The sequence below is a fragment of the Homo sapiens genome, chromosome 20 (genome assembly GCF_000001405.40).
Source record: "Homo sapiens chromosome 20, GRCh38.p14 Primary Assembly".
NCBI lineage: Eukaryota > Metazoa > Chordata > Mammalia > Primates > Hominidae > Homo > Homo sapiens.
This window is the reverse complement of record NC_000020.11, coordinates 56,259,647-56,273,347: the sequence shown is the minus strand read 5'-3', so window position 1 is coordinate 56,273,347 and position 13,701 is coordinate 56,259,647. Positions and strand designations below refer to the sequence as shown.

The 13,701-nt window shown below is 44.1% G+C and overlaps 1 annotated feature.

Annotated features, from left to right (window-relative positions):
- Positions 12,502 to 13,701: an enhancer, noted in NCBI's record as "CDK7 strongly-dependent group 2 enhancer chr20:54834703-54835902 (GRCh37/hg19 assembly coordinates)". NCBI's record gives its function as "activates an origin of replication core promoter dependent on BRD2, BRD4, P300/CBP, MED14 and CDK7 cofactors, with strong dependence on CDK7, by STARR-seq in HCT116 cells {active_cell/tissue: HCT116}" and the evidence as "EXISTENCE:reporter gene assay evidence [ECO:0000049][PMID:35650434]".

The window sequence follows — 13,701 nt, the reverse complement described above, 5'->3', positions numbered from 1 at the left end:
AGACCCTTGTGAAGAAAAACTGGGTTGGAACAAAGCCAATGTTTCCAGCCCGTGAGGGGGATGGGGGATTGACAGTGTCCTCCCCAGCAAGCCTGTATTCTGTGTCTTGTGCAGCACCCACGCTAGTCACTTTTAACTGGCTAACAGAGGCCTGGTATTTTTCTTTCATTTTGACTGCTGTGTAGTTTAGAGACTCCAAAAAAAAAAAAAAGGACAGAAAGATCTGCTTTTACTCAACCTTCTGCAGATCCCAGACGAGCCCCCCACAAATCGTACAGGATTTTTGGGGTGTTGCTTTTCTGGCCAGAAACCTCTGTGCCTGATGGCGCTTTTGCCTGAATTCTTGTCCTGCATCCAGGAAGAATGAAGTATGCAGACAAGCAGAGGGTGAGCAAGACAAAGAGGAGATTTATTGAGTGTTAGAACAGCTCAGGGGAGACCTGCAGTGGGTAGCTCCTCTCTGTAGTCAGGTCATCCCATTGAGTGTTCAGCTGTTAGCAGAGAGGAGGCCCTGGAGTGGGTGGTTCCTCTCTGCAGGCAGGTCATCCCAAAGAGTGTTCAGCTCTCAGCAGAGAGGGTAACTCCTCTCTGCAGCTGGTCACCCAACATTTGCTGCTCTCAGCAGAGAGGAGGCCCTGGAGAGGGTAGCTCCTTAGCCTCCTCCTAGCTTCCCTCCTGTGCTTATTGGTGCTCAAAGTCAAGAGGGGGCCCAGGTAGCAGGGGGATGGCATGGCAGCACTGCCCCAAGCATGTGCCCACCTGGCCAGGCTGTGACAGTGCCCAGGCTTGGCCCCAACCTTGCTCCATGATTGGAGCAGGTCCTGGGAGTGGGGAGAGGACAGGCAGTGGGGGCAGGCACTTCCCAGCCTGCAATGGGGAGGAAGCCTTCCCAGGACCCCAAGAGCACAGAGATGCTTGGGTCTATAGCTGGGCTTGGGCAGCTGCAGCTGCACCTGGGAGCTCCTGCCCCACCAACTCAGAAGGGGCAGGGCTCCTGCTTGTCCCTGGTTCCTGCCAGCTTCATGGAGTGTGCAGCACTGGCCATGCCTCTGAGATTGGAAAGGACACTGAAAGCGGAGAGAAGCCACGCAGTAGGAGCAGGCACTTCTGAGTCTGCAGGGGGCAGGGGGGCCTCCCTGGTCCCCCAAGAGCACAGAGACGCCTGGAGCCACACCAGGGGAGCTGCAGTGGCACCTGGGGAGGGTGGAGCTCCTGCCTGCTCTCAGTGGGAGGTCCAGCTGCGCCTCCTCACTGTAGCCAGTGTCTTGGCAGTGGTCACTCTAGATGGGCCACTGCTGCCATTAGTAACTCTTATCACAATTGGTAGTATTCTGTTTAGTTATTTGGTGGCTTAAGATTCATGAGGGTAGAGCCCTTCTCTATCTTCTGCGTTCTCTATTCCCTGCACCTGCCACAGCAGTTGGTGTGGGTAGGTGCTCAAAAAATCATTTGTTAATGAAAGAACTAAGAGTTGCTTGTAATAAATGCTAAAGCCATTCAGAGGAGGAGGAACTGATCACTGATGCTACTGTAGTCAGCAAAGTCTTCCCATAGCAGGGGGCTTTCCATGGAAAAGCCAGTTCTTAAGAAAGACAAGGGATTTCTTTGTAGTTCAAAGTCACCTCTGAGTTTTCTAGGAAAAGTAGTTCTACTGGGAAACTCGGCCAGGCTATTTAAAAATGTAGTTTGTTTTTCAAGGTAAATTTGATTTTTTTTTTGAGATGGAGTCTTGCTCTGTCACCAGGCTAGGGTGCAGTGGCACGATCTCGGCTCACTGCAACCTATGTCTCCTGGGTTCAAGCGATTCTCCTGCCTCAGCCTCCCAAGTAGCTGGGACTACAGGCAAGTGCCACCACGCCCAGCTAATTTTTGTATTTTTAGTAGAGATGGGGTTTCACCATGTTGGCCAGGCTGGTCTCAAACTCTTGACCTGATGATCCACCCACCTCAGGCTCCAAAGTGCTGAGATTACAAGCATGAGCCACTGCGCCCAGCCAATTTTTTTCTTAGCTTTCTCTTAAGAGGGATTCAACGTGTTAAGCAGTAGGGTTTCCATTTTCCATTAAAGCACAAATGCCAATAATTATAAATAGAAATGTGTTGTAAAAATGGCCTTTCTTTGCACTTAGTGAGCTGCCACTTTCTTTTACAGTACATGAAAGCACTTTGCCCATTTCATTTCAAATGTTAAGGAACAGCAAGGGGGTTAGTAAGTGAATCATTAACTTGCTTATGGGGTCTGGAGCCATGAATTTGGCAACTAATAGCTGCTTTTGTCAGTGCTTATAAAAGAAAATGTGTTAGTGGCTATTGTGACACATCATCAGAGTGGAGGCATTTTCTTAAAACTATTAAGTTATTCTCAGCCGTATTTGTTTTAGTCTTTCAACATGAGCAGAGTTTATCCCACATCCCGCAACATGGGAAAACACCAGATTTAAAATGCAGATAGTTCTGAGCTCAAATCCCAATTTCAGTTTACCATGTGAGCGTAGAAAACTTACAAAGCCCTCAGAACTTGAGTGTTCTTGCTTACTGAAGGTGAGGAAACACCTACTGGTCGGAATTGCAGGGTTTTAATGGAACATATCTTGCAAGCTTCCACTACAGTGCCCATAGATTCACTTTCATCTTTCTCTCTTCTGCTTAAAGTTATCAGCTCTTGCTGCATTATGGTTTTTTTTGTTGTTATGTAATTGTTTGGTGACCATCTAATGTGGGTTATAACAGCATCTTGTTCCTGTGCTCCCCAAGGCCCTTGAAGAAAACAGGAGTTGTGAGTTTTCTCCTGCTGAATGGCAGCCTGCCCGCAGATCTACTTGCTGTGAGTTGCCTTCTTCATTCAACAGTTTTCATTGAGTGCCTGTTCTGGGCCAGGCTTTGAAGCATGCCTTAGGAGTCATTGGTGAACAAGATGGCCAGGTCACTACTCAGAGGGCTCCTGGTCGCTGGACTGGGCATCTTCTGTTTTTCTGCCAGACCCATCTTCCCCACTCTGCACCTGCCCACTGTCCTGGAGGCCTGACCACATCACAGGCTCCCTTCAACTCTGGCTTCAACAAAAACCACATATTTATGTCTTTCTTATAACCTCTCTTGCCCTAAACATGTCCTACTCTTTTTGTCCATTTTATATACAGAATTGTTTCTTTATATATTCGTTAAAACTTTAACTCTTAGTAACCCTAATTCCTGGTTAAAAAAAAAACCCTGGAAGTAAACAATTTTACTTGTAACAAAGTAAAGAAATTTACTTGTTATACTAGGTGCAGAGCCCAGGATAGAGGACAGAGCTGTGAAGACAATGCCTGGAGGACCTGACCCCTCCAAGCCTGTTGCCCTCTGGCTTCTGATAGGGCTCGGCCCATGGGGCATGAGTGGAGATGTGAGGGAGAGGGATGAGTGAGTAAGGTTGGACAATGAATTCCTCTGGCTGCCTCCTTGTGTCCCCATAGCTCTTTTGAAATTTGCCTTCTCTAACATCTCTCTCCTTTCAGCTTTAACTGTTTGTTCTTTATCTCCTTGGGCTCAGTGCCTTGAGTTACTGCCATGTCTCTTGTGGTTCCCCTATGATGCAGGATATTTTGCTCCTTAGCTAAGTCCAGGTTATAGTCTCACGACCGGAAAGAATTAGGCACGTGGTCATCAAAGAGTGAGTGGAGTACAATTCATTAAGGAAAGCTCTCAGTTAAGAGAGGGGCCCTGGAAAGCAGGTTGCTGATTACCCCCTCACAGTTGAATACAAGGGCATATGCATATATCTAATGCTGACGGGGCTGGGTTCCCTATTTGTATAAGGCGCAGATTCTTGGTGATGTCACCCCATTCCCCCAGTGCACCTGCAGACCCTTAGTCTGTTGTGAGCATGTTCAGGCGAGCCCCCTGTGCAAGTTCCCTTATCTGCACAAAACATCTGCACAAGTGTAAGCACTTGCTGGGTGGGTTAGAGGTTCCCCAGGGACCCAAGTTGGCTAACTCCTTTCACCTACACCTACACTTTGTAAATAATATCTTTGTGAATAAATTCTATTTGAATTAGCTTAATTTAAAAGGCCCTTCTGTTTCCTGCTGGGGTCCTGACTCAGTTGCAAATAATAAACCCCCATCCTAGCCCTAATGTGCAGTGAGATGCATGTTACCAAAGCAGGATTCTCTATATTCAATGCATTCATAGGGTTTCTTTTCTGTGTGAAATCCATGGTGGTGTGTAATGAGGGATGAATTACAGCTAAAGATTTCTCCATGTTGATTACACCCGTGAGGACTTATTGCAGTATGAATTTTCTGATGTACAATGACGTGTGTTATTTTTGAAAACAAAAGTTTCCCACATGATGACATTCATAAGGTTTCTCCCATGTTTGAATTTTATGGCACTTAATGAGATGTGATTTCTGGCTATAGGCTTCCCCACTTTGCCTGCATTTGTAGGGCCTCTTGCTCTGGTAAAGTTTTCTTTCTTGCATAAGAGTTATGCTCTCATTAATCTCTTTTCTCAGATTCATTACTTCCATAATGCTTGTCTCCACTGTGAATTCTAAAACATGTGATGAAGTTTGACTTTTGACCTAAGGCTTTCACATAATCATTACATTCAGAGTTTTGGATAATTACTTTCAACACTGGATAAGCCATAGCAGAATGATTTCTTTGTCTCTATCACACTGAGATGACTGTCTCCTTGTACAATTTCCCTTATGATTATCCAAGCCTAAATTATGTTTCAAATTTGTTCTAAGTGAATCCCATTGATGGGGTTTTAGTTCTTGGAGAAATAAGTTTGGAGGTTAAACCAAAAGGTTTCCAACATTATTACATTCGTTGTGGATCACCTTAGTTTGGATTTTGCTGCAGGTGGATGTCATGTGTCTGGAAAGGGTCACCTGTTTCCTATCATCAATCTGTCAAACCATCATCTTTGTATATTTTTTCTAAAGTAGAATATAATAAACTGTTCATGGTGAATCTTTCCACTTATTTAAGAATAAACCCATCTTGAAAAATGCTTTGCCCCAGGAGTTTGAGACCAGCCTGGGCAACATGGAGAAACCCCATCTACTAAAAGGGAGAGGGACGAGTGAGTGAGGTTAGCTGGGCATGGTGGCACACGCCTGTAGTCTCAGCTACTCTAGAGGCTGAGGCAGGAGAAACACTTGAGCCCAGGAGATGAAGGTTGCAGTGGGGTGAGATCATGCCACTGCACTCCAGCCTGCATGACAGAGCAAGACCCTGTCTTGAATGAATGAATGGATGAAGGAATGCATGAATAAATAAATAAATGGAGTTGCCTCCTTCGTTCCAGACTTCTCTTTAATATAAGTCATCTCAAATGCAAATATACTCAATCCCTCTCGGTTCTGAGAAGGAACATACTGGACAGAGCTGTTTTGGAATTTCTCCCTTTCATCCATGGTTTTCCTCCTTGTTCCAACTTCAAGTTCACATGTAGTTTGCTGTTTTGATAATCCATGGAGACTTGCCTTCTTAAGTCAACCGCATGATATCTCTAGAGGGCATTTGAACTATTCCCCTTCCCTCAGGTGGAATCCATAGCTACATTTGTGATTGTAGCTGATGCCTGGTACTTGATTCTTTCAAAGTCTTCTTGGGAAAGAGCAGAATCCAGTAAAAGTGGAGCTGGCTCATCCAACATTGGTTAAACACTCTGTCATTACACAGGTTCTTAGGCTCTTGGGAGGTGGAGACACCATGGAAATCTTCTTTACCTTGGGTGCAATGATCAAGGACAGATTCAGGCCTCCAAACCTTCTGAGACTCTTGGTTCTGCCCTGAAGTCTTGCTGCAAGTCTCCAGGCTGAAGGTTCTCCTTTCTAGAAAGAGTGCTGCTCCTGACCTCGGAAGAGTCATTTGTGTGTGTGTGTGTGTGTTGAGCTGGGACTACCACCTGCTTCAGACCCTGAGCCCAGAGGAGTTTTCCTGCAGCCACTCTACAGCCCACCCTGGGCACATGCCATGCAGTGGCACATGCCGTTTGCCTGCAGCAAAGCCAGACTTCAAGTGGCCGTTGGGTGTACTCGCTATCTTCTAACTTATTGCAGGTGAATATGTTGCTAAACTTTCTGCCACTACAAATCATGGCTTGTTCTTTCTTCAGCTTCCAGTATCGATTTCTTCACTCTTCTTCCAGACTCTATTTACTGCCTCCTTGAAGCCTTTCTGGACTTAAAATAGTGCCTGACACCTATGTGGGTATTAGATATTTTTTCAACCCAGCAGGCAAGACACAGAATTGGTCTAAGAATGGGGATTCAGATGACCTTGCCTTTATATCCCTGGAGCACCCCACAATTCAGCTTAAAAGCTGAAGATGAGTCCGGCACAGTGGCTCACACCTGTAATCCCAGCATTTTGAGAGACCAAGGCAGGCAGATGGCTTGAGCCCAAGAGTTTGAGATAAGCCCAGGCAACATGGTGAAACCCTGTCTCCACAAAAACACAAAATATTAGCTGGGTGTGGTGGTACGTGCCTGCGGTCTCAGCTACTCGGGTACTGGGAGGCTGAGGCAGGAGGATCACCTCGCCTCGGTGAGTCGAGTTTGAGCCAGTGCACTCCAGCCTGGGTGACAGAATGAGACTCTGTCTGAAAAAAAAAAAAAAAAAAAAAAAAAAAAGCAGATGAAGTTCAACCTAGGGAAACAGAGACCTCATGAAGGTCAACCACCCGCCTAAAGTCACATATTTGGTTACTGCCAGACCTAGGGCTAGAACCCAGCTTCCTGATTCTAGTTCTGTATCTTATCTCCTGTCATTTCTGCATCTCCCATCTTAACCCGCTTTGTTTATGGATAAATCCCAGAAGAGAAATCCTTGCCTCTAAGGGATGCAGAATTTTGGTAAGGGCTTTCAAAATAGAGCCCTTTCTCAAAGAATGAGAATTGCTAAAGAAAAGCTCAGAGATCACCCCAAAATGACACCTGTACAAGACTGCAGGAGGATCCTGAGAGTGGTGTTAACTCTTTCTGGTCAGCACGTCTTCCTTCAGGCAGGTTATCTTTGGGCACTTGAGAAGGAGGCGAAGACGCAGACTGCAAATGACGTGGGTCAATGTGTCTCAGATTTAGCATCTCTGCTCATAAAGGGTTCACTTGATGCAGTGGTTTGCTCTTCTAGTGTGGCTTTTTTCCCTGCACAGAGTGTTCAGGACCAAGAAGAGCAAGGCACTGGAAACTAAGAACAGCTTTTGAAATCGATCAAAACACCGAAGACAGAACTTCATTGGCTTAAATGGCTAATGGCTCGTGTGACAATTTCACTGGGGTAGGACAGTCTGACCTTTCATTTTGAAGAATGTGTAATTACTAAGCTTTTTCCCCCAAGCAGCAACAGTCACTTCCTGTCCCATTTAATTTAATTTTTTTTGTGTGTGTACCGAACATCTAATCGCTATCCAGTCATAGGAAAGTAAAGCTAGACAGATTTTGGTCTTTTTCTTTTCAGAAGTTTGAATTTATCCATTAAAAGGGTGTGTCCATCTTATCAAAATTGCTCTTGGATATTAGGCACACATTTTAGACTTTGAGGTTTGGTTATTTTCTAAACACATGCTAGTGTTTCCTTTATTAAATGGTGTACACTTTCAAATCCTTTGAAAATGTGTTTTTATGATGAAATGATGGCGATCTTCCCCCCACCCTCACCCCCATTTTACTCCTCGCATCAGAAACAGCTCAGGCTTTGGGCTCAGACCTGGGCGTGCCTCTTGGCTTTGCTGCTTTCTAGCTGTGTGACCCTGGCTAAGTTACCTGCCTCTCTGAGCCTCAGTATCAGCACCAACAAAATGAAGAAGATTTCTGTGTGTGTGGTTTTTTTTTTTGAAGATTAAATAAAATGAAAAGAGAAAATGGCATGATGGACTCGAACGGTGCAAATTGAGATCTCTGCAGATAGTTTTCAGCGCACAGTGTCTGGCACCTGAGGCATGAAGAGGATTTAAATAAACATGAAATTAAATAAGTTTGTCAATTTAAAGCAACTGGAATGGTGCTTGGTGTACGGTGGCCTCCCAGCACATATTAATTCTCTTTATGGTTATAGTCATTACTGTTTGCCACAATCCCTCACCTCAGAGAATAGAAAGATATTAGAATCACATCTTCCTAACTGTTGTGGGAGCTTTAATACAGTGCTAAATCGAGTGCTGCAGGAGTGACATGACTGTCTGAGCCTTGGTTTTCTCCTTTGTAGAATGGGAATGTTATACTCTGTTTGCAAGGTTGTTGTTGAGATTAGAAGTAACACCTGAGAAGATTCCAGCACAATGTGGTTGCTTGAGAAATTGTAAATATTAACACTAACAGGTGTTTCTTGAGCAAAGATAGAGCATGCATTAAACTATGTATCTATTTTCTCGGCAAGAGAGGCCACCAGAGAGATGCTCTAGGTTTCTCTTAGGTACACCAGTGTGAGGTAAGAGGCTCCCTTGATCAGGGGAAAGGGGAGAACAGAGTTTTTGTAGGACTTCACAACCTTAGCAAGGCTGATCTTACTTCTGGAATACAGAGCATGTGGGTGAGAGGACCAGTTAACATAACAGGCCATGGGGGCTTCTGGAAGGGAAAAGGTTGACAACACAGTTGCTTCTCCCTGGGATTTTTTTTTTAATGCAATGATTTTATGTATTTTTATAGCCAATTACAGTAAAATCTAGCAAATTCCATGATTATTTTGAGAGATCTTTATCATGAACAGGAATAGATGGATAATGATGCACATAGATCTCCACAGAATGATCAGGAAGATCTAATTATATTCAAAAATGCCTTTAACTATTCTAATAGGAAAATGAGATACAAGTGTAGAAGGTTGTCAAGACTATGACATGGAAATGAGTGATGCTGTTAATAATCACAGAGCTGGCCATCTCTCACCTGGACTATTACCACCGCCTCCTAACTGCTCCATTCTATCACCTAAGTCATCTTTCCTACACATCCAACACATTGTGTTACTTCACTGCCCAGATTTCATTTTTGGCATTCCATCACTTACAGAAATCCATCCAGAGCCCTCGGGATGCCATATAAAGTTCTTCTTTCCCCATGACGAGGCATGTCTGACTCTCCAGCCATGTCACTCTCTGTTCCTAAACAAGCCCTCTGTGCTCCAGTCCTACGAGCTGCTTTCAGTTCCCAGAATGCCTGTTGCTCCATGTGGAAACTGCCCAGGCTGCTCCTGGGAAGGACGGAAGCAGTACAGTGAGGGAAATCAAACAGCCAGCCAGGCATCCCTGAGATTTCAAGTTAGAAAGACTTACTGGGTTTGGGGGGACGGGGTTCCCGCTAAGACCTAGGGACAGGGAAAAGAAAAGTACCAAGAAATAGAAAATAGCTGTGGGGATGGAGTTGCTCGATTTAGCAAATAAAAACACATCTCACTTGAATTACCTCATTCATTTCCTTTGTAGGGTTGCCAAATAAATGGCAGTTTTTAAAGTGTATGTCCTGTGCAATATTTGGAATACGCTTAAACTATATAAGATGATGATTTGTTTATTTGCAATCAGATTTAACTGGGCATCCTTTATTTTATCTGGCGACCTACATAGGGGATGAATGAAATAGCCCGTGGAGGTTGGGTCTGCCATGGAACTGGGAGTAGGTCTGAGTGCTGGTTTTAGGTTGCCAAAAAGGAGGCCAAGCTGTGGGAGGTTTATGCCCTGGAAGTCTGCAGCTTCAGTAAGTTTAAGGGGCCTGGCCATGATGTACTGGGAGTCTGGGCCACTTTGGGGTGGGGTGTAATGTTGGGGTAGTGGGATTCTCGCTGTGGTTGTCCCTAGTCTCAAAAAGCTGGGACCTAATTTGTTCTTGGAGATAGATATGAGCAGAACTGAACCTTCCCTCTGTAATCTTAACAAAAGTGGAAGGTATCGGAGTGTCTTCAGGGGCATGGTCTGGACATCCTGCTAATACGGGTAGGTGGGTCACTGACCATTGCAATGGAGCAACAGGCACATTATCTCATTTCATTTGTCTTTTAACTGCTAGAACAACTTTGTTGAGGTATAATTTATTCCTATAAAATTCCCTCATTTTAAGTGAAGGGTCAATTATTTTTTAGTTTCTTAGTGAGTCCTGTAGCCATCACTACATTCCAGTATCAGGACATTTCTGCCACCCCAATAAGACCCCCATACCTGTTCATAGTTAATCCCTGCTGCCTCCCCCAAGCCCAGAAAACCACGAATCTACCCTCTGTCTCCATGAATTTGCCTTTTCTAGATATTTCATAAAGTCATACAAAATCTAGTCTTGTGTGTGTCTGCCTTCTTTCACTTAGCAGAATGTTTCTGAGGGTCAATCGTGTTGTAAATGCAATCCAGTCCTTTTTATAGCTGACTATTATTTCATCATACAGATGTGCCACATTTTGTTTATCCCTTCACCAGTGAATGGACGTTTTGGCTTTTCAATTTTGGTTATTACAAAAATTCCTACTAGAAAATTTGCACAGGGTGGACGTGGTGGCTCATGCCTGTAATCTCAGCACTTTGGGAGGCTGAGGTGGGAGGATCACCTGAGGTCAGGAGTTCAAGACCGGCCTGGTCAACATGGTGAAACCCTGTCTCTACTAAAAATACAAACATTAGCTAGGCGTGGTGGCAGGCACCTGTAATCCCAGCTACTGGGGAGGCTGAGGAAGGAGAATCGCTTGAACCTGGGAGGCAGAGGTTGCAGTGAGCAGAGATTGTGCCGCAACACTCCAGCCTGGGTGACAGAGCAAGACTCCATCTCATAAATAAATAAATACATAAATAAAATAAAATAAATTTGCTTGCATACCTTTTTTATTTTTAATAATCTAACTGTATGTGTGTAAGTTGGAGTGGGAAAGGATAGTTTTAAAATTGAATAAAAATTGAGGAAATGGTTCACCTGTTTTTATTTTATACTCCTGCTTTAAGAGTTAAGATACAATTTACTTATTTTTTTTGATTCATAACACACATCCATTTGATTAGTTCTGAGCAGTACTGTGGCCCAGAAAAATCAAAGCTTCAGTCTAGTGGTATTATGAAACCAAGGACAAGACGAGGCATGAGAAACAAACCATTTAGCAGGCTAGCTTATGCAAGCCCTTAAATGTTAGAAAGAAAGAACTGAAAAACTCAACTTGTAGGAATACTCACTACAAAACTAAGCATTTTTCCTATCATGTATATCTGTGGATTTGGATATAAGTTTTAGAAGATGGTTTAGTATTTTAAAATGGATGTACTAAATTGCCATCTAGAAATTACCAGCTGTATTTTAGAGCAAGCAAAAGAACCCCTGCAGCCTGCAAGAATGAGTGGATTGTGCAAAGAAAGCCTATAAAAGAGCCAAAGTGTTGGGGACTAACAGAGTAGAATAAGAGAGAAAGGTGGACAGTGACTGGTTTTGCTTGCCTTTTTTTTGGAATCAGCACCCAATTCTCTTGTGGGAGACTTCCTCTCCGTCTCTGCTGGTCCATGTGGCTTGGGTGTGGCTGTTGCCCCATCACTAGCTCCAGGGTGTGGTTTTATCTTGGCCTGAGTGAAGATGCTGCTCGTGGTGATTAGTTCAGGCTGGCATAGATTTGAGTTAGCTGGCCTGAAGTTTGTATTCGTTTTTTGAGGCAGAGGGACATGAATAGGGAGACTATTGGGAAAGAGTAGCTGGTTTTCTCCTGGAGTTGGTGAGCTGATAGTAAAAGTAACCTGTTAGAGAAAAAAACAAAAGAAGGGAATGTTCTTGGGACACACAGAAGGAAAGATTTCCGATGATATCATTTCACTACGCAGATGAAGCAGGGCCTGAATAAGTATCCCCTCTCCATGCTGTTTTTTGCTCAAGTTTGAGATGAGATTTTGTTGCCTGCAGTGGAAAGAGCCTTGACTCTGCTTGTGTCTGGAATAAATAGGGGTCATCAGAATTTGATTTAAAAGTGGCATGCTGTCTCTTGTTCCTCAGTGTTGTGGAGGAAGTTCTTACCTGCACAAGTGTTTCTGGCTGAGCTTTAGAACACAGAAAACAATCTGTTTGCCTCTGCACTAAATCTTTGCTTCCTTTTTAGTTCCCCCTTAGCAAAGTGATCTGAGATTGGGAGAAAAGTCTTGGTTAACATAAAACGTGCTTGATAAGGAGTTCTTATCATCTTCAGAGTCTGTTTACCTGCCCAGTGTCAGCTGGTAAGTACAAGAACCATTCCTGTTACAGATGGGGAAACTGAGGCACAGAAATGCTAAACGATTGGGTTAAAGAGACACAGTGAAGAGATCAATCCATCTGTAGCTTTCTGTTCCCTTTCCCTGCAAACTTTCACTTTAAGAAGAATCCAAACTATGCTTGTCCAAGGGGTGTCGCTTTACCTGCCCTGTAGACTTTGTGAGGACCGGGCTATCTTATTCTCGGCTGCATTCCAAGCACCTGGTCCATGTTAAACACTCAACCTGTGTTGACAGAAAAGAAGGAAATTCAGGCTTGGAGAAGAAGAAAGAGTAGGCTCAGAAAGAAGGTACAGGTTTTATGTGCCAAGTAGGATAGTTGAAGCCTAACATCATCTGAAAACAAGCAATTGCAAAGTTGGTGATTGCTAAATTGGCTTGAAATTATATATAAGATATACTTGCTAAATTGGCTTGAAATTATAGATGAGATATGCGTTCAAAAAGATAAGGTCTTATCCTGGCAGGAAAATGCATAGGAATGATGAATGTTTGCCAAGGAGACTGTTGGGACTTTTTATCCGTGATGTTCACCACAGTCCTGAAGCAAATTATTCATCCCATTTTACAGAAGGGAAACCCTTGGCTTAGTGGGGTGAGCATTGCCCAGCACTGATGGCATTCCCATCCTGAGCCGACTGATGCCAGTTCTCCGAAGTGTCACATTGGAGCTTTTTAAAAATAATCCCTCCATCTGGTGTGCACTTCCCTCCAATTAAATCAAATGCTCTGAGGGATAGGACCTAGAATCACTATGTTTAAAGTTTTGCAGTTGCCTCCAAATTTGAGAACCACTTCTCTCAGTGGTGCTAGTTCACCTAGAGCCAGTGCAAGTAGTGCTGGGCGCCTTGACTCACCCTCACTTGCCATCCTCTCTTCCCATTGCTCCATGCCTTTCTTGCTTGATAGCTCATTTTTCCTCTTTTTGGAGTTTTCTGGTGGGATTTTGTATTGATGGAATCATCTCAGAGATGGGTGACTCAGAGGGTGGACTGTTTGCTGGTGATTCATGCCCATGTCTGGAATGTTGATAACTCACCTATCTGCATCATTTCATCCCAAACAAATGGGTGCTGTGGAGAGGCTGCCAGAGGAGGATGAGAGAGGGGAGACGGAAACTAATCCTGTATGAAGAAAAATGCAAGAAAATTTCATTTAATTATGATCTCTTTTGATTTCCCTAGGCATTTCCTTTGGTCTTACAGGATTGAGTGGATACGGTTGCTTTGGGAAGGAGCTGTGTTAGCTATGATTTCCAGCTGTGGGTTGGCTTGTCCTCTGTTCTGCTGTCTTGGTTGTGGGAGGCCTCGCCATGCCAAGCATGGGCCTCAGAACAGCAGCATTGGCATCAATGGTGTCTGCTAGAAATGTGGAGTGCCAGGCCCCACCCCAGGCCTGTGGATCAGAATCTGCATTTCAACAAGATTCCCAGGGGATTTGGGTACACATTTCTATTTGAAAAGCCCTGTGGTTTGTGCCCAGAATGTACTATGGTGACC